Raw genomic sequence first — 19,262 nt, 5'->3', positions numbered from 1 at the left:
ATTTAATTCTCAGCTAAGGTGCTAAGGTAGGGCCCAGCCATCTGTTAGGTGATTCTGCTATATCCTAAGGTGATGTATCCTAAAAGACACCTAGGGTGCTTTTAGAAACTGCCCATGCCCAGCCGTATCCTCAAAGATTCAGGCAAACAATTAGCCGGGTGTGGTGGCATGTGCCTGCAATCCCAGCTACTCAGGAGGCTTAGGCACGAGAATTGTTAGAACCCGGGAGATGGAGGTTGCAGTGAGCCAAGATTATGCCACTGCACTCCAGCCTGGAACAAAACCAACCCCCCTACCCACCACCACACACACACACACACACACACACACACACACACACACACACACACACTCAAGCATGGTTGGGTCTGGAGTATGGCCTTGGCATAGGTAATTTTCAGTGTCCCAAGGGATTCTAGTGTGCATGGGGCTGTGAATCACAGCTCCAGGTGGGCCAACTATGTGCACACTGGTGCCTGGGGTAGGTACTAAGCCCTGATCCTCACCCCTGTGCGGGTGCTTCCTATTATGCTTTCTGCCTTTAGCCCTCCTCCTCCCTCACAACCTGGTCAAACACATCAGACAGGGAAAGAAGCAACATGTGTATTATTAAATTATTTGTCAGAATTTCCAGAATCAGAGTCTCTACTGGGCAAGTAGAAAAATAGAAAAGTTTACTACTTTGAAAAGGAAACTATGACAAACAAGTATATATTCAGGAAAGGGACTCCTAGAACTTGAGCAACAAAAAAGAGTTCAACCTCGGCACAGTGGAGTCTGCAGTGTCTCCGCAACAACAGAAATGAACTTGTGTTCCTCACATCCTTGAGAGTCGAGGTTTGCATTTCTCTACAGAGCTAGGGCTGAATGAAGCAAAGAGACCTCTGCCACCCCCACTAGCTGGCCCAGTCCTGGAAGCGGAAGCAGTCACTTGCGATCTTCCACACTGTGTTGCTGGGTGAGGCCTGGGCGGTCAGGATGAAGTTCTGGTTGAAGTCCCGTTGTTTGTTCCCCTCAAACTTCACTGATCCACAGATGACAACAAGGACCGTGGTCTGGCTTGGTGTGGCTTCATCATGAACAGGCTGGCAGTCTACCACGCTGATTTGGAACTCGCTGGAAGGCAACATTTCAAAAAACTCACTCAAGGATTCTTGTCCTGAAACAGCATTGCCATTCCAGACCAGGGTGGCTGTGCCCATGTACAGGCGGGACAGCAAACGCCGCCGCTTATCCATGGTGGTGTAGTAGACATTGACAAACTCCTCAGCAGCTCTGCAGGCCTGATCCACATAGGTCTTGAAATCCACAGATGCCATCTCTGGTTCTATGGAAGGAGGGCTCCACCAGGGTATTTCCTCTGCCTTGGGGAACCAGGGGCTGCAGGGAAGTAAGGTTGAAGAGAAGCCACGTGAATGCCAAAGTTCATTCTGCCCTGACAATGGAACATTCCTCCTTTTCTACTACTGGCAAAATAGTTACAGACTGCAGAACAATGACTGTAGGCTCAAATAGTACCCAATGCCTAAAAATGCCTAATTTTACTAAGACTCAGTTTGCTCACTGTTAAGATGGGATTACCACTGTGGCAAACTGAGATAGTATACCTTAAGTGTTTAGTTTAAAAACATTTAGTTATAGTCAGCACTCCATATCTGAGGGTTTTGCATCCACAGATTCAGCCAACCTCAGGGCGAAACCTGCAAATACGTTGGGCTGACTGTGCTATGCCATTTTGTTTTTGTGACAGTCTCACTTTATCACCCAGGCTGGAGTGCAGTGGCGCGACCTCGGCTCACTGCAACACCTGCCTCCCAGCTTCAAGCGATTTTCTTGCCTCAGCCTCCCAAGTAGCTGGGAATACAGATGCCCGCCACCACGCCTGGCTAACTTTTGTATTTTTAATAGAGACAGGGTTTCGCCATGTTGGCCAGTCTGGTCTCAAACTCCTGACCTCAGGTGATCTGCCTGCCTCGGCCCCCCAAAGTGCTGGGATTACAGGCATGAGCCACCATGCCCGGCCTTAACGCCATTTTATATCAAGGACTTGGAGCATCAGCAGATTTGGTCTGTTGTGGGGCTAGGGGGGCTGCTGGAATCAATTCCCAGAGGATAAGGAGGCCTGATTGGACCACGAATTTTTAAAATCACATTTTATAAAATAGAGTACATTTGAGTATGGAAGGCCACTCTTTCCTGAATGCTTGCAACAGACATGACAGCCCCTTGGTAAAGACAGTGGACCATGTTGAAGGGAAGAGTGGTCACTGGCCCAATAAAGGCCAACCAAACCAATGAAATGCTCGTCAGCTGCTGAGTCTAGGAAAGTCTATCATGAGCTCACTCAGGAGGAACTGGGAAGGCAGAGAAGGCAGGTTTCTTAAGAGGGTAGAAACACAAATGACATGAGGACAGAATCAAAATGGCAGCCATAATCCCCATGATAAGCTAGAAGCAGCAAACCTCTTGGGTGAGTGGGGATTAGAAGGGAGGACACCCAGCTTACACAGGTACTAACATCCACCAGATAAGTCCTGTGGAGTCACAGTGCCTCCACAGAAAGGCATGTTAGATTTCAAAGCTCTTGGGTGTGTGGACACAGAATATGAACTATAGCTGAAATGTCACATTGTCCCCCAAATAAAAAAGTCCAAAAGCATTTAAAAAATTGACATTTACTTTTTTCAGGGTACAGGTACAACTGTTATGTTCTTTTCTCCATAATTAAAATATTTCACTTAAAAAAAAGAGGACATTACTAAAATAGAGGACATTACTAAAATAGTTTATACTTACAAACTTAGTGAACAGTTTTTTTTCATTTCAAAAAAAAGACTTTTTTTTTTATAATGATTAGCTTATGAAATAAATAAAACATTCCACATAGGGCTGGAAAGAGCCAGGTACTTATAACGGCTGCAAAGATGGTGCATTGCCTCTGGTAAAGGGCTGGCTGGGAGGGAAGCTGTCCTAAAAATGAGCAGTTAAGAGCCAATTTCAGACGTGGGTCTTTCCACGCCCTCCACAGACCTCATAGTTAAGCCTCAACTGTACTCTGGACTGAGTACAGTGGTCCCTCGGTATCTGTGAGGAACTGGATTCAGGACCCCCGAGGATACCAACACCTGCAGATGCTCAAGTCCCTGATAAAATGGTGTACTGTTTGATATAACCTATGCGCAGCATCCTCCTATATACCTTCATCATCTGTAGGTAACTTATAATACCTAATACAATGTAGATGGGATGTAAATAGTTGTTATACTGTATAGTTTAGGAAATAATGACAAGAAAAAAAAAGCCTCTACATGTTCAGTACAAACGCATTTTTCTTTTTCTGAAGAATATTTTTGATTTGAGGTTGGTTGAATCCACCCCACGCGGAACCCACGACTAAGAAGCGCTGTGTTTGCTAAGGGCTTCACACAAATTACCTCATTTAAATGTTACCACAAATGGATGAAAAAGGTATTACTATAACAATTTTACAAATGAGAAAAGGGAAACCTAGGGCTGGATCAAAGTAACGACGGTTAAGTACACTCCTGATCTATCGTTTACAAGACTAGACTGAGGGCTGAAATTTTGTCAATACAACGCTGTCCTTGTACTCGCGTAAGCAAGTCTCCATGAGCACAACTCCAGGACTGCTAGAGTGGGAATTTTCTCCCAGGGACCCCATTTCTCTTTGGCTGGAATTCCCGATCTCCACCTCACTCCTCCTCCCTCCATGGCACCAGTCCCCCCATCATCTCAGAAATGCCCCTCTTCTCCGCCCCTGGCTGTCTTTCCAAACACAATCTAACAACTGGCCACGCCCCCACACACCATAGAAGGACCATCTCCACTTACGGTTTTCAGCTACCTATGAGGTCGTCAGTCCCGCTGTCTGTGTCAAATCAGAAAAAGAACCTGACCGTGAGGACTAGAGTAAGAGGCTGTGAAGACTGCCGCCTCCTCGCACGACCCACACCGTCGAGTGTCCGGAGATGGACGGGAAAAGCTACCACAGTGGCATGGCCTTATTTCCTGTGAGTCGCCTTTAATTCAAACCTAGACAGACGCACGCCCTGCCCGGCCCTCCTCAGACCCGAGAGCTGCGCTGTGAGGGGACGCGCCTCCCCTCGTTGATGAGAATTCGCTGCCACGCTTTTTGCACAGGCGAGAGCCTCACCGCGGCGGCAACTCTACCACGTGGACAAAGGCACAGCCGTGTCTCATTCTCGACAATGGAGGAGGGCGTGGGGTATGCACTAGGGGCTGTCTCGGGGGTCAGACCGCCGGGGGACGGCAACGTACCTGCGCGGCGACGTCCAGGGTCAGCGCGGGCCGCGGCCCCCACGGTCGGGACGCCCCCCGCGTGGGACGCAGTTCCACTGAGGGGCCGGCCGCGGAGGTCACAAGGTGGGCCCACCGAAGCCTCTGGTAGGGGCACGGGAAGAGCCGCCTTTCTCTCCTCCTCCTCCTTCTTGGAGGCTTACTCTGGGTCACCGGGGCCCCAGAGCCGGGGGACTTTCCGGCGCAGTTCCGCGGCTTCCCGCGCGCGGCCAGCCGGTCTCCACGCAGACGCGAGCGCCCCGGCGCCGCCCTCTCCCGCATTCCCGTGACGGGCAGCGAAGTCAGCCAGTGGGACTGCGGGCCGGAAGGCTAACTCCGCCCATGTGTGGCTTATAAGAGGCGGTAGCTTCCGGGAGTGTCACTTTCCCAGAAATCCCGGCAAATCCGCCCTAGAGTTTTCGTTGGTCCAACCGGGCCACAGACTCCGGCCCGTCTGGTTAGGTGGGATGCCTGATTGGGCCAAACCTCTTAGGTCCCGCACCTAGAGCGGGGAGTAGCGTCTGCTTTTTTTTCCGCTGAGCGGAGGCCGCTAGGCTGGAGAGGGAGGGGAAGGTGTGTGGGGTCGGGTGAGATGCTTTCCCCTCGTCCCGCATGCGCCTGTATTGGAGTGATTTCAGTTAAAAGTCTCGTGAAACGTCACCAGTGATGTAGTCACGGCCAGCAGCAGCTGCCTGACCCCGCCGAGGCCTTCCGTCTGGCAACATGTGGGGCGCCGCAATGCTTGAGGCCACGGCGAGGGCAACGCCGGCCGCGCCCCGTGGAAACCGCGTGGCGGAGTGCTTGAGCCGATCGCGCTCTTTAGGAGTTAGGCCACTTAGAGGCGACATCTTGGTGGACACGGAGGAAGCCAGTTTTAGTCAGATGGGAAAAGTAGCTAAAAGTGGGAGGAGACTGGGGCGAGGGTGGGACGTGGGGGAGGCGGGGGCGTGACGGCGGCTCTCCACTGCCCTGAGGCTTGAGGGGCCCCGGGAAACCCGGGCCCGGCTGGGGTTGGGACTCTGTTCTTCCGCGTTCATAGCTACGATTCAGCTGTTCTGGAATGAGAACTGGATTTTTACTGAACTTTACGAACAGGCTCAACAGGATGTAACCATTCAGTGTGGAGGCATGAGAAACTATAGCTTGTAAATTAAAAGAAAAACCTCATTTCTTTAGACAACATTTTCAGCTCCATCTGCTGGTCTGAGGCTGAATAATTAATTGAAAAGCCAGGAGAGAAATGGGGCTAGATGAAGTGAGGTAGTTTAACCTGTGCTTTCTTGGCGTCCCGTCGGCTCCCTTTGCTTGCATTCCTAAGAGAATCTTGGTCTCAGATTTCAGGACAAGTGGAAAACAGTTGGGCTATTTAGTATAGGCCACCCCTTCCCCCCCGCACCCTCTCCCCCCACACACTTCAGTTAAGTAGGTGGAAAGTTTGGATTATTAAAAAGACACGTTGGAGGCTGAGCAGAGAGTGTGAAAGAGCATTTTCGGGGCTTTGTGAACTAACATGGCCTTTTGAACCCCAAGGCAGTGATACTTGGATTGATCTAAATCAGCGTGGATGGAATGGAAGTGGGAATGCGTTGATTTACTGCACGCTCAGTAGTTTGGATGCTGTGCTGCTTTTGTTTCCTGTATAATAAGCCCCTTTAATTTGTTTCACATAACTTATTGGGGGAGGTACCATTATTTCTGATTTTATAGACAAGGAGGCTGACAAAGAACCATCCTGGTGTCACAGGGTCGATTCATACCTAGAAAAGTATGAAGATTCATACCTAGAAAAATTAGAAGAACATTAATGCAGCTCCAAGGCCTTTTAAAAATGCGAGACTTTAGCTTTGAAAGGCAGCTGTTCTGCCTTTTAGGTTTGTGGGGTCTGCCTTTTAGGTTAGGGTCCTTTTAGGTTTGTGTCTCCAGCATATAAAATTGTGCCTGACCCAAAGCAAGGGCTCAATAAATACTGTTTGAATGAACAGACAAACCTGGGTTCAAATCATGCTCCTCAACTGCACAGTTGTGATGATCTGTCCTCAACACTCACTCCCTGCTCTCTTTGGAAGCAACCCTGGCTTTTATTCCCCCTATTTGTAGCAGGACAAGCCGCAGACAAAACCCCTCAGAAACCAAGTTAAAGAAGGAAGGGCTTTATTCGGCCAGGGAACTTCAGCAAGACTCACGTCTCCAACAACCGAACTCCCCAAGTGAGCAATTCCTGTCCCTTTTAAGGGCTCACAACTCTAAGGGGGTCCACGTGAGAGGGTCATGATCAATTGAGCAAGCAGTGGGTATGTGACTGGGGCTGCATGCACAGGTAATTAGAACGGAACAGGACAGGACAGGGATCTTCACAGTGCCTTTTTTATGCAAACAACCAATTAGGTCAGGAGTCAATCTTTACCAGGCCCAGGGTGTGGCGCTGGGCTGTCTGCTTGTGGATTTCATTTCTGCCTTTTAGTTTTTACTACTTTTTTCTTTGGAGGCAGAAATTGGGCATAAGACAATATGAGGGGTGGTCTCCTCCCTTACTATGATCCTGGAGTTTGGGGAGGTCAGAGACATCCCTGGTTCCAAAGGACACACGACTGGCACTGTATGCGTTGAGCACAGCTGAGGGTGGTCGGAGGCCCAATTAGGGCCACTGAGCCTGGAGGTGTTTGCTGAAGGATTCTGGGGAAGGAGATTTTTCTCCCTTCCCTTCTGGACTCACAGTGTGTGGATAGCACTGTTGCAGCCATCTTGCTGCCCTGAGTGGTAGACCCTTGATGAGGCAGACAGGAAAGCTGGGAAGAAATCAGGCTCTTGATGACTATGTTGGGAGTCAAATCATCCCTCAAGTTTGGACTTTTCAGTTTCAAGAGCCAGGAAATCCTTTTATCTTTTGTACTATTTAAAATTGGGCATAAGCATAAAGTTATTTGCAACCTGACTAGTGTGGCTTAAGCATTAGCAGGGTGGCTGTGGCAAGTGAGTTAGCCTCTTTGAGGCTCAGCTGCCTCCTCTGTAGAATAGGGGCAATGGTCATATCCATCTCCTCGGGCTGACGTGAAGAGCGAACGAAACAATGCATGCTAAGTGCTTCATATGGGGCCGAGCATGAAGTAGCATCCAGAAAGCGTTGGGAAAGCAGAATCATGCTTTGACATTTTGCATCTATAGCAACTTCCTTATTTGCCAACAATCCCTCCAATGACTGGCTTTTAAACTTGGAAGAAGTGTATTGACAAATTGGTGGGATTTGTCACCAAATTGCATGGGCCCTTCTGAAGATGAGCCCAGTGGTCCCATGTGCAGCGTGGAGTCCGTCCAGGGAGGAAGGGCACATCTGGTCACACAGGCAGAGTCCTTGGCAGCTCTGATGACAGGCTTGATTTAAGGATCTTTAAGTCTGTAAATAGAGGATTGATCTTTTCCCTCATTGTCAATGTTGTTCTCTGGCGCAGGATCTTAACAGCATTTGTTTGCCATGAGAGGCTGCATGACTTGGAGCCAGTCAATCTACGGTGACAGCAAAGCAGTTGTGACTCTAATGTACTGCCACCAAAAACACTTTCTTTTCCGTCTCTCAGCCTTAGCAGGATCATCTGAGCCACTGCCAGTTCAGAGTGAGCTGGGGCTGCTTTTCCAGGAGGGCAGTTGGGGACCTGACTTTTGAGGAGATTCTGAGGTTTACTGAAGGAGCAAACCCTATGGGGTTAGACAGAGTTTTGTGAAATCTGAGCTCTGCCTTCTCTGTACTTCAGTTACTGCCTCTGTAAAATGGGGGTGTGGACACTGTAGACATTAAATGGCAGTGTATAAAGGAGGCACCATCTGGAGCATTTGTCCAGCCTGCAATGATGCCGTTTGTCTGAGAAGGTTGTAGGGATCATTTCTGGTTTGAATCTCAGCCCTCTTCCCAGCTCAGCCACCAGCCATCTGGAATTGTGGGAGAGGTCAGACGGCTGCAAAGCCTCTATGTGGAATTGGAACTAAATACACATATTTATCAGTATTTAATGGAAGACTGCAGGATGCTTGCAGAGTCTACAGAAGGCACTGGTAAGGTGGCTCTTTTAGTCTGGGAACAAGAACTGGGCAATGGATGCCTCAGAGGCTGAGTTGGACTGACAGAGCTGTGACCAGTGTCTAGAACCTGGGATTCTCCACTAAAGTCAGATTCTCAGGAGAGAGTTGGATTGGCCCAACTTCAGTCATGTGCCACCCCTCTGCTGCCCAGGAGGGATGGGTGGCTTGAGGGACAGTCCTGCCAAAAACACCTGGGGAGGAAGTTTCTCAAAAGAAGTAATGTGGAGGAGCTGTTCCCAAAGGAAGCGGGGGATTCTGAGAAGGCAGGAATAACTGAGGCCATGAGCACAGACAGAGGATGAAGCAGAGGTCAAGGTCATGTGACCAGAGGAGAGAACTGGAGCAAGACATGTATGCACACACACATGCACACATGGACACTCACATATGCACACTTACATGTACACATGCACACTTACATGTACACATGCGTACACACGAGCTATGGAGAATGGTTGCCTTGATTCCTTACTATGATGGATTACATTTTCTGAAAATGGACACAAAATAAATTTCTGGTCCCATGTCCTCATCTGGAACCTTACCTTGCCACCCGCTGTCAGGACATGGTGTTGAGTCCTTCCCTTGATCAGGGAGGCCTTTGTGACTGTGTGAGCTCAGGCTAAATGGTGTTACATGTCTGCCAAGGTTGGCCTGTAAAAGGAGATACAGCCGGTGCTGCTCTCTAGCTATACATGTGCCTGGAGCCCAGTGCTGTGCTGCAAGCAAAGCCCAACTCCAGCTGAGCCACCCCACAGCAACGCGTGCCCAGTAGCCAGTTGTGTGGCTTGTGTGAACCACCGTGGTCCTAGGTTGGCAAGGCTTGAAGAGAAATGAGCCTACCCTGCCTTGCCCCACCCAAACTGCAGATTTGTGGGCAAAATAAATGATTGTTGTCATGCTAACCCACTAAGTTTTGTAGTGGTCTGCTATGCAGCAAGACAGAGTTCTTACTCATTACTTTCCTTCTCCAAGTCCTTGCTGTGGTCCTGCCCCAAGGTTCCAGGGAATAGCCTAGTGCTGGCAATAACTCCTTTTTAATTTATGTCTGACCTGGGTTTGCCACTTGCTGCTAATGGAACCTTGAAAATAGGGCCCCTTGGCTGGGTGCGATGGCTCATGCCTGTAATCCCAGCACTTTGGGAGGCCGAGGTGGGCACATCATGAGGTCAGGAGTTTGAGACCAGCCTGGCCAACATGGTGAAACCTTGTCTCTACTAAACATACAAAAATTAGCCGTGAGTGGTGGCAGGTACCTGTAATCCCAGCTTGCTCAGGAGGCTGAGGCAGGAGAATTGCTTGAACCCGGGAGGCGGAGGTTGCAGTGAGCTGAGACCATGCCATTGCACTCCAGCCTGGGTGACGAGACTCCATCTCAAAAAAAGAAAAGAAAAGAAGGCCCCTCAAGGCCTTACGTAGTGACGCCACCTCAACGAACTCACCACAGTCCTGAGGCTGGCTTTGTCCTGATTTCTGAAAATGGGTCCATTGGCTAGGACCAGTCACAGGAGGAAGCTCACAAGGCTGCACTCCAGAGCAGGTGTTGGTTGGTTCATCTACAGCCAGAACCAACTTCCCAGGGACTAAGCAGCATGTGTTCATGTGCTCTCTATGTGAGCAGGTGCAGGTGGCTATAAGAGCATGGGTCAGAACAAGGAAACACAGTAGATGGCATGATCCCAGTGGCCAAGGGCACAAGTTGACAGGGCCTGAAGGATCTATGTTCTCAGGAAGGAACATGGTCACCAGGGAGACCAGATACCCCACAGTGAGTCTGGTGACCACATTCCCTTCTCACCAGCCCTGCCCACATTTGCCCCTGTGAATTACCCTACCCCTTTTTTTGGGCGTTTCCACATTCTGGTGGTGGATATTTTAATTTGTTCACCTCATGGGCTGGGAATCTCTTTTCTCTTAAAGGTGACATTGCATAGGTATGTTCCAAGTCTTATTGACTTTTAACTCTCAGGGACACTGTTATTTCTCTGCTTCTAAGCCAGTTTTATAAATTACTGTGTAGGAAGTGCTTAGCACATGGTACATGTCTTAGTTTGGATTCCCCGAGAAGCTGATCCGAAGCAAGTATTTTGGTGCAAGTCATTGGTTTGCTAGGCAAAGGGGTGTAGGGAATTGGGATGGGTGAGGAGTAGATTACCCAGGCTGCTACCACTGTGGGTGACTGGATCCTCATCACGCTGTGCAGCTCCTCATAGAACAGCATAGAACATATGCTTCAGAATTATTCCCCCTGGAGGGCCAGGAGCGTGTGGGAACTGTGGAATTTACACACAACTCCTGAGAGTGAGGGCTGCCGGGGAGGTGTCGTTTTCTTGTCTGGCAAGAGGGACAGAGAAGCTTTTCTTCCACTGGCCTGGAAAAAAAGCCCTTAGGCATTTGGAAATCAGCTAGAGCCCCCTGAAAAGGGAAGTACCAGGCCTCAGACAGGCACTGAAGGTGTCAATCATAGCAGGCATTTTAAGTGGCTCCACAAGCAGCTTCTGGAGGACCCAGCACATTCAGTGTACTTCACAAGCAACCCCGTGGTGACCTTGGGCATAGCCTCGGAGGTGGCTATTCCTATTGACCCAACCATGTAGGCCAACTGTAGATCTGAGTGGAAAGGGGCTGTGAACCTCATTAAGCCATGGGTGCTCAAAGCTGATGACACAAAGGAAAGGTAAGATGTATGATCCCTGCTCTCGAGCTGAGCTTCGAGCTGAGGGCATGACACTTATAAACACTAGGCTCTTAGGGAATGATGGCCTTGTAAAATGGCCTGTGCTGCTTTGTTTACCAGGAATGCCCTTCTCTGGACATGCAAATCAAAACCCCAATGAGGTGCCATTCTGCAATCTTAGGATGCCTAGAATCAAAAAATAGAAAATAACAAATGTTGGTGAGAATGTGGGGAAATTGGAACCCTTGTGCATCGCTGGTGGGAATGTAAAATGGTTCAGTTACTGTAAAAAACTGTACGATGAGTCCAAAAAAAATTCAGCATAGAACTGCCATATGACCTAGCAATTCTACTTCTAGGTAAATACCCAAAAGAATTGAAAATAGGTACTCAAGTGAGTATTTGTTCATGATTGTTCATAATAGCCAAAAATTAAAAACAATCCAAATGTCCAATGGATGAATGAATAAACAAAATGTGGTATACCCATACAATGGAATATTATTCAGCCATGAAAAATAAAGTACTGGCCAGGTGTGGTGGCTTATGCCTGTAGTCCCAGTGCTTTGAGAGGCTGACGCAGGAGGATTGCTTGGGGCCAGGAGTTCCACACCAGCCTGGGCAACATCATGAGACCTAGCCTCTACAAAAAATAAAAAAAACTTGCTAGCTGTGGTGGGTCACACCTGTAGTACTAGCTATTTGGGAAGATAATGTAGGAGGATCTCTAGAGCTCAGGAGTTCAAGGCTGCAGTGAGCGATGATTATGCCACTGCACTGCAGCCTGGACAACAGAAACCCCATTTCTAAAATAAATAAAAATAAATGAAGTACTGATACATGCTGCAATGTAGATGAACCTTGAAAACATGGTGAAAGAAGCCATACACAGAAGTCACCTGTTGTAGGATTCCATTTCTGTGGAATATCCAGAATAGGTGAATCTGCAGAGAGAATGCCGAATGATGTTTGCCAGGGGCTGTGGGCAGGGAGGAACGGGGAGAAGCAGCTTCATGGGTACCAGGCTTTTGAGTCATGAAAATGTTCTGGAACTGATAGAGGTTGGACGATATTGTGAAACTGCTAAAAGCCGTTGAATTGTTTGCATTAAAATAGCCCATTTTATATAAACTTCACCTCAAGAAATTATTAAACAGAAAAAAAAAATTCTCTTTCCTCGAGGCTCAGTTGACATGCCAGCTGCCCAAAGGCATGTCTTCTGGTCCAAGTGACTGGAGGTGACTTTCGTGACCTCATGGCCACTGGGTTCCTCTGCTTCTAGATGCTTTGTCTCCTAGCTGCCATATGTCCCTTCCTCCTGACTCTGAGAGCTGAGGGCTGGGGCCAGTGTCTGTGTCCCTTCCTCCTGATTCAGGACTGGGGGCTGGGGCCAGCCATTCCTCTCATGCTCTGAGGCTCACACTTACTTCAGCCTTGCTGAGTCGCTTATGCCCCTGCAGCTCCTACTGTGGGTCTGGAGTTTGGGCTCAGCTGTCTTTCTCTGGGGCCATTTGAACAATCCTGGTGGATAGAGCAGAAAGAGCATGCGAACTTGGAGTCAGATAGACCTGCGTGACCTCCTGTGAATGATCTAACCCTCTGAGCCTGTAAAATCAGGGTACCTGCTCCCTGATGTTGGCATGTGGATACCTGAAGAATGCCTGAGTAGTGGGTGCAGCTCTTGTGGCACAATTACCCCAACTCCACTCCCATCTTCTCTTCCTCTCTTAACGGGTCACTGACTTTTCTGGTCCTGAAACACACATGCTCCTCAAAGGGACTTGCCTGGGGCACAACTCTCACTCTGCAGTATCCCTACTTGTGAGCTCCCCATATCCTAGACTAGGGTCCCAGACCCGAGGCCCTCCATAATAAGACATGAGCTGGGTTCCCACCATTCTCCCCCGTGCCATGTTTCGGCCACGCGGAATCCATGCTGCTTGCCGCAGTCCTTAGGCTGCCCTCTCTGCCTTGTGTACCTTGCCCCCATTTCTGCACACATTTCCGCTATCCTTCAGGGACTGGCTCAGATGCCACCTTCTCTTTACAGCCATCCCACTTTGTGGAAAGGTCTGTGGTGTTCCCCCCTCTGAACATTCCTGTGCCCCTTTTGTGGCATTCATTTCTCGCTCTCTCCCCAGTGTTCGGCCAGGCCGTGTGGGCCCAGGGCGAGGCCCTGGTTTGCCCAGCATCAGCAGAGACGTTTTAGTGATGCATGGATCTGAGGGCTGGTCTGTGTGCGGAGAGAGGCTGCTCCCAAGTGGGAGATGCTGAGGTGCTTGGCAAAGATGGGACTTGAGAGAGGCCTTGATTGATGAGTGGGCTTTGAATAAGGAATCAAAGAGTCTTGAGAGCTCAGAAGTGAGCGGCAAGCACTTTTTGTCTCCCCCTGCAGCCTGGGAAAGCTGAGTGGAGCAGACAGTGAGATACCCTCTTCACTCCTTTCCAGACCAGGGTTTTCTGGCCACAGTCTTGGACCTTACTCATGGCAGGGCAGGAATGCCCAGAGTTAACACCCAAGAGCATCCTTCAGTAAGGACAGATGGGAATTGGAGGGTTCCAACCCTTCCAGTCCCTCAGGCAGGACATCTCTGAGGCACACCCCGCATCATCCCGGAGCTCCCCAGGGACTGAGCCAGGCACCTGCAGTGCTGCCCCTGTACTGGCTTCCCCCTGCCCTACCTCACATCCCCATACCCCAACAGGTGCCCCTGGGATCACCTCTCAAATAAGTGGCTTGCAGTGCAATTGTTGTCTCAGGGGCTGCTGCTGGGGACTCTGTCTAAGCTAGGGAGCAAAGAAAGGACTTTCTCTCACTGTTGAAACACCTGAAGAATGTCTAGATGGGTTTTCCTGGTCCCTTGAAGGGTCAATGCCTTGGCTAACAGCTCTCTTTTGGTGCCAGACAGTAACAAATCTAATGCAAACTACAGTTCTCAAAGTGAGGGAGCGTCAGAATCCTTGCTAACACTAGGGTGCCAGAGCCTTAGCTTCAAAGTTTCAGACATAGCAGGGCCAAGGGAGGCCAGAATTTGCATTTCTAACCAATTTCTAGTCATACTGGAAAGCCGGGACCACACTTTGAAAACAACTGCTCTTGACTAGAGAATAAAAGTAGCCTGGGTTGAAAAGTGCTCTGCAGCTTTTTTAATGAAGTAAATTATTATTTTACACTCTTCTGCAATTAGTTCAGCCTTGACTGTTGAGCTTAGTTTTCCTTTTTTTTTTTTTTTTTTTGAGACGGAGTCTCGCTCTGTTGCCAGGTTGCAGTGCAGTGGCGTGATCTCAGCTCACTGCAACCTCCACCTCCTGGGTTCAAGCAATTCTTGTGCCTGAGCCTCCCGAGTAGCTGAGACTACAGGCATGTGCCACCTTGCCCAGCTAATTTTTCTATTTTTAGTGGAGATGGGGTTTCGCCGTGTTGGCCAGGCTGATCTCAAACTCCTGACCTCAGGTGATCTGCCCGCTTCGGCCTCCCAAAATGTTGGGATTACAGGCATGAGCCACTGCGCCCAGCCAGTTTTCCCGCTTTTGAAGCTGTCTGATCTGTCTTGCTCTTCAAATCTGAATTGCCATTCACAGAAGCAGCCACACGAGGGTGGTCTAGCCTTTGACAAGAGCCGCTCTGCTTGCGTTGTAGACAGGATCTGAGTGACACCTTTTCTGATCAAGAAACCAAAGTGTTCCTTCCCTATATCAAACATAGGGCATTTAAAAAGTCCAAGATAATCTCCTTTGTCTTGACAGGTGGCTGCTCAGAGAGGCTTTTTTGTTTTTCTCTAGGATATTTTAGAAACGGTTTGGGAAAGCAGAGGTCTCTGCCTCTCCAAAGCAGCACAGCTTTTAGTGTGGTTCTATTTCAAATTCTGAGGTACTGTCTCAAAAATGCTTCCTGGTGAGCATTTTGGTCTAATGGCTGACTTTGGCACTTTGTCCCGGGATGGTTCCGAGGCGATGAATGCACAGTGTACAATGGGATGACCGCGATGGCATGTGGGGGATCAGCTCAGGGTGCCGGCGCAAGGCCCCAGGCAGCCCGTTCTTGCCAGCCAGTGCCTATGACCAGCGAGGGGTGGGGGCATCGAGAAGATCCTGCCCCTCCCCACGACCCTACCCCTTCTCCCGTGACATCAGAGTGTCATCCCAGGTGGAATATTCCCAGTATCCCTTCCTGCTCCCAGCTGTGGGCCCCTGGAGGGCACTCCGGGTGATGAGGATTCTCATCCCTGCTGAGTTGGAAAGGGGCACCCTGACAGGAGAGCTGGCCATGCCCCAAGCCTCCCCAGCCTTGCCCTCTGCATTCCTTGAGGGCCCTGTCTTCATGGGGATGGGGGATGGCAGCTGTCAGCAACAGGCCAAGTGGTTCTCTCTTCTGTCCCCAGCCTCGAGTGGAAGCAGAGGCTGCATTAATTTAATTTAAAAATTTAAGCCAAAGTTCCAACTCGTGGTACAGAGATCCAAGAGCATAGAAGGTTTGTAAGGAGAGCAGGTACCTCTTGTCCTGCCCCTTGCTTTCCCTCGCATTCAGGCTCGTGGGGTAAACACTTGCAACTGTTCCTATGTTTTTGTTCTTTTGGCAGTTACCTCTGTAATTCTAAATAATGAGCTTGTAATTCAATTGCTTGACTTATCAATTTTGGACAATCTTCAATGACTATTACAATGGAATCTTACAAAATAGTCTCTTAGCTAATTTCATTAGATTTAGTTCTAGTGATGACCTTTATAGCTTTAAATATGTAATTCCTCTCTGCTTCTTATTCCATCAATGATAGAGACTGTTGTCTAACTCTCTGCCCTCTCGGACGGGGATAACAGTTCTCTCAACCATCTCTTCCTAAGTCCCATCTCTGTGACTAACCCTTGAGCTGCTGTCACCTCCATGCTCTCCTCCACCTGTGGAAATAGAACCCTGACTTGCGTGTGGCCACTCAGCCTGAAGACCATGCTTCCTACTTTCTCTCCCACTAGCTGTGGCATATACCTCATCTGGTTGATGAGATGTAGTTTGAAGTGTTGTGTGGGACTTCCTAAAACTAGGGAGGCTAGGCCATCTCCCATGTCTTCATTCAACTGCTTGAAATGCAGATGTGATGGCTGGCACTTTGGCTGCTATTTTGGACCATGCAGATGTGGGCCAGATCCTAGGGATGGTAGAGAGGAGGGTGGAAGGACTTGGCTCCCTTTATTTCATAGAGCTATGATAAGTTCTCTTTTAGGCAAGTGAGAACTACAAGTCTATTTTGTTTACATCATTTTGAGCTCATCAGTTAGATGCCATCAAAACTAATTCTAGATAATATGGTAAAAACTGTCTTCACATTTACAGCATCAAGGATGACTACATTTACCTTCTGTTCTACAGCGATGATTAGGTTTATTCTTTGTCTAGATTGAGTCTAAGCATTGAAAAGAAATAAGAAGCATTTTCACTATTAGGCCTAACTGTTGATTACTATAGAAACACACACATGTAGGACTTGCTCTGTTCTCTCCCACGATGTCTGTACCCCCTAAAGGGTGACTTTCCCAGATTCAAAGTCCAGTGTACAGCCTTCTCTTTTCCAACCCTCCTTACACCATGCTTATTTTAGTTTACTTTCTATTCGGCTATATCTTTATGGAACAGGATCTTGTTTTTCTTGGAATTCCTAATTGTTTTTGTCTTTGTTGCTTTTGCTGTTGACAAAATAATGTGCCTTAATCCCTTCATCTCATGGGCCAGCCTTTCCAGAGCACCCCTCATTGCTTGAAAAGCCCTTTACCCCTGGAGTCACTCCCTAATGATCCTTGGACCTTTCCAGTCTGTATGGGTTTCCTTCATCCTCTGGAAAAGTTATTCTATTTTTTTTATGGCTTTCCCCCATTTACTTTCTCTCCTCTTTCTCTTGTTTTTGCAATTTTGGCCTCTCTCTTGCTTGCTTGCTTTCTTTTTTTTTTTTTTTTTTTTTTTTTGCCTGTGCCCTGGGAATTAAAAACAAACAAATAACTTTATTGTGTATCCTTTCTATTGACTTATTATTTGCCTTATCTGGCCAATTATATCTTTATTTTCTAAGCTTACTTTCATGATCTCATGTTCCTGACTGGTCCTTTTTTCTAGTATTCTGTTCTTCTATTGTACTTTTTGCCTTGTTCCTTTTTATATATAAGGAATGCAATTACCTCTCAAAATTTATGAGAACAAACTCAAGTCCATAGAAACCTCTGGAGCTGAGAATCCTCAGTTCAAATGCTGGCTCTGCCACTTACCAGCTGCATGATCTTGGGCAAGTTAATCTGCCTCAAGGCTTTGGCAAGATCAAAGGGTTGCTATGACCTGATGCACACATGGTACCTGACTTCAGGTAGGTACTGAGTGCATGTCACTGGTGGCAGATTGCATTGCCCAAAGGCGTCTGAACAATTAAAGATGTCCCAGACCTCCTGCTCTAACAACATGACTGACATTGCTCTCACTGAGAGGTGGCGTCTATGTTCCTCCCGTTTAATCTGGGAAGAGAGGAGTTCCCAGGCTAGGTCATAGAAGGTGATGCAGGTTCCACTCAGCTCACCTGTGCTCACTCCCTCTTCTTTTTTTTCCTCTCTCTCTCTCTCTCCCTCCAACTCCCCATACCTCTGTCTCTCTCTGCTCACCCTTGAATGCAGCTACCATGCTGTGAGGAAACCTGGACTAGGCCAGCTGGAAAGAGGACATGGACAGGCCTATTTGGGGAGGAGCTGAGTGAGGCCCCAGTGACAGCAAACATCAGTTGTCAGATGTGCAATGGATGAGCCTTCAGCAGGCTCTGCTGTGCCCTTTTCAAATGCATATTTATTATGCAGCCAGAGTTGGCAGCAAGCACTAAGCTGTGACAGTGCATGAAGTAATTTAATTGGTGAGGCCCATTCTTGCAACTACCTCTGTGACTAGTGGAGACAACTCAGATCCCAGATAAAGGATGGGGTGCTGGGTCAGCATGCCAAACCCAAGCTACCCCAGGGGGCTCAGAGGAAGAATAATGTGCTGGAAAGTGCTCTGTGGCATGTAAAAATGGGTGTCTTCTCAGGATCTAGCAGTGGGACTAGATTTGGGTAGAAGTGCCAAATGAGAGAAAGCAAAGACCCTAAGGATGAGATTTAATGAGGTTGCTGCCCTGTGTCTGGCCTGTCCCCCGCTGGTGCTCCTCTTCCAAGGGCATTCCTGCCCATGGGGAACAGAGGCTTTGGGTAAGGAACACAGCCATCATATTGTATGAACAGCCACACAGGGAGGCTGGCATGAAGCTAATACAGGCTAGAAGTCTCTCCTGGGAGGAGGCTGCCACGTGGGGGTCACAGAGTGCTGAGGGCCACTTGGAAAGTTGTGGATCCAACAAGGATCCTGGGCCCTGGAAGCTCCACAGCATCCCTCAGTAGCAGGCTGTGAAGTATCTGACCTGTGTTATCAGTAGACGGTCTTGGTCTTGACTGCAAGTTGTCCAGGTTCTTGGTGTTTTGAACAAAGAATTAGATAAAATGCACAGCAAAGCAAGGAAAGAATGAAGCAATGAAAGAGCAAAAACAGATATTTATTGAAAATGAAAGTACACTCCACAGTGTGGGAATGGGTGGAGCAGCAGCTCAAGGTCCAGGATATAGAATCTACAGAGTCCAAATGCCCCTTAGAGGTTTCCCATTGGCCACTTGGTGTTCACCCGGTGTAAATGAAGTGGCGGCCTGCTTTCTGCAACCAATCAGAGGCTGAAGTGAAGTTACAAAGTTACGCTCCTATGCAACATCTGATTGGTTGCACAAAGCAACCAATCAGAGGTATTTTCAGTTTCGCATCTGCTGCACAGAAAAGGTGAGGGTTTGCAAAGGGAGTGATTTCTGATCTTTTTGTTACTAAGGTGTGGAAAGTTAGGGCTTTACTTTGAATTTAGTACTAGGAAGTCAGCTTGAAATGGCCTTAGGTTCCCTGCCTCCAGACCCTATTCTTCTGCCTCATCTGGACCACCCATGTGAGGGCCGCTCTTCGGAAGATTTATCCTTAGAGAACAAAGGGCTCAGAGAAATACTGCCTCAAGCTGCACATTGGCCCAACTCAGTTTTATTTTATTTTATTTTATTTTATTAATTTATTTATATATTTGTTTATTTATGACAGAGTCTTTTTCTTGTCGCCCAGGCTGGAGTGCAGTGGCATGATCTCGGCTCACTGCAACCTCCACCTCCC

The 19,262-nt window shown here is 48.4% G+C and overlaps 1 protein-coding gene and 1 long non-coding RNA gene across 2 annotated transcripts in view, besides 10 other annotated features; one reads left to right on the top strand and one right to left on the bottom strand.

Annotated features, from left to right (window-relative positions):
* Window positions 1–589: 589 nt before the first annotated feature.
* On the bottom strand, window positions 590–4,570 carry NXT1 (nuclear transport factor 2 like export factor 1). The gene is made up of 2 exons (NM_013248.3): window positions 4,300–4,570; window positions 590–1,380 (listed from the first exon to the last, which is right to left on the bottom strand). The coding sequence occupies exon 2, from the start codon at window positions 1,317–1,319 to the stop codon at window positions 897–899; it is 423 nt and encodes a 140-aa protein (NP_037380.1). The 5' UTR covers window positions 1,320–1,380; window positions 4,300–4,570; the 3' UTR covers window positions 590–896.
* Window positions 3,719–3,768: an enhancer, noted in NCBI's record as "active region_17633". NCBI's record gives its function as "activates an Ori minimal core promoter by ATAC-STARR-seq in GM12878 lymphoblastoid cells {active_cell/tissue: GM12878}" and the evidence as "EXISTENCE:reporter gene assay evidence [ECO:0000049][PMID:35858748]".
* Window positions 3,825–4,696: an enhancer, noted in NCBI's record as "H3K27ac hESC enhancer chr20:23331302-23332173 (GRCh37/hg19 assembly coordinates)". NCBI's record gives its function as "activates a minimal SCP1, AML or CMV promoter by ChIP-STARR-seq in naive H9 embryonic stem cells {active_cell/tissue: H9 hESC(naive)}" and the evidence as "EXISTENCE:reporter gene assay evidence [ECO:0000049][PMID:30033119]".
* Window positions 3,825–5,569: a biological region, named in NCBI's record as "H3K27ac hESC enhancers GRCh37_chr20:23330429-23331301 and GRCh37_chr20:23331302-23332173".
* The window catches only part of NXT1-AS1 (NXT1 antisense RNA 1), a 42,012-nt gene continuing 26,643 nt past the window's right edge, over window positions 3,894–19,262 (top strand). The window contains exon 1 of the long non-coding RNA XR_937384.2: window positions 3,894–4,031. This is a non-coding gene — a long non-coding RNA (NXT1 antisense RNA 1). The remainder of the gene's footprint in view (window positions 4,032–19,262) is intronic.
* Window positions 4,259–4,528: a silencer, noted in NCBI's record as "silent region_12725". NCBI's record gives its function as "represses an Ori minimal core promoter by ATAC-STARR-seq in GM12878 lymphoblastoid cells {active_cell/tissue: GM12878}" and the evidence as "EXISTENCE:reporter gene assay evidence [ECO:0000049][PMID:35858748]".
* Window positions 4,635–4,929: an enhancer, noted in NCBI's record as "tiled region #5983; HepG2 Activating DNase unmatched - State 1:Tss, and K562 Activating non-DNase unmatched - State 1:Tss". NCBI's record gives its function as "activates a minimal TATA promoter and a strong SV40 promoter by Sharpr-MPRA in HepG2 and K562 cells {active_cell/tissue: HepG2 | K562}" and the evidence as "EXISTENCE:reporter gene assay evidence [ECO:0000049][PMID:27701403]".
* Window positions 4,697–5,569: an enhancer, noted in NCBI's record as "H3K27ac hESC enhancer chr20:23330429-23331301 (GRCh37/hg19 assembly coordinates)". NCBI's record gives its function as "activates a minimal SCP1, AML or CMV promoter by ChIP-STARR-seq in naive H9 embryonic stem cells {active_cell/tissue: H9 hESC(naive)}" and the evidence as "EXISTENCE:reporter gene assay evidence [ECO:0000049][PMID:30033119]".
* Window positions 4,849–4,988: an enhancer, noted in NCBI's record as "active region_17632". NCBI's record gives its function as "activates an Ori minimal core promoter by ATAC-STARR-seq in GM12878 lymphoblastoid cells {active_cell/tissue: GM12878}" and the evidence as "EXISTENCE:reporter gene assay evidence [ECO:0000049][PMID:35858748]".
* Window positions 5,149–5,278: a silencer, noted in NCBI's record as "silent region_12724". NCBI's record gives its function as "represses an Ori minimal core promoter by ATAC-STARR-seq in GM12878 lymphoblastoid cells {active_cell/tissue: GM12878}" and the evidence as "EXISTENCE:reporter gene assay evidence [ECO:0000049][PMID:35858748]".
* Window positions 10,504–10,724: a silencer, noted in NCBI's record as "fragment chr20:23325274-23325494 (GRCh37/hg19 assembly coordinates)". NCBI's record gives its function as "represses an EF-1alpha promoter that drives an FKBP-Casp9 reporter gene in an ReSE screen in K562 erythroleukemia cells {active_cell/tissue: K562}" and the evidence as "EXISTENCE:reporter gene assay evidence [ECO:0000049][PMID:32094911]".
* Window positions 14,688–14,737: a silencer, noted in NCBI's record as "silent region_12723". NCBI's record gives its function as "represses an Ori minimal core promoter by ATAC-STARR-seq in GM12878 lymphoblastoid cells {active_cell/tissue: GM12878}" and the evidence as "EXISTENCE:reporter gene assay evidence [ECO:0000049][PMID:35858748]".

This window comes from Homo sapiens, chromosome 20, assembly GCF_000001405.40.
Source record: "Homo sapiens chromosome 20, GRCh38.p14 Primary Assembly".
In the NCBI taxonomy this organism is placed as follows: Eukaryota; Metazoa; Chordata; class Mammalia; order Primates; family Hominidae; genus Homo; species Homo sapiens.
Note: the sequence above shows the minus strand (reverse complement) of the source record. Positions and strands in the feature narration are given on the sequence as shown.

What these genes read in the sequence shown, in the direction of transcription:
- NXT1 (NM_013248.3), bottom strand. Translation starts at nt 1,319, where the DNA reads ATGGCATCTGTGGATTTCAAGACCTATGTGGATCAGGCCTGCAGAGCT.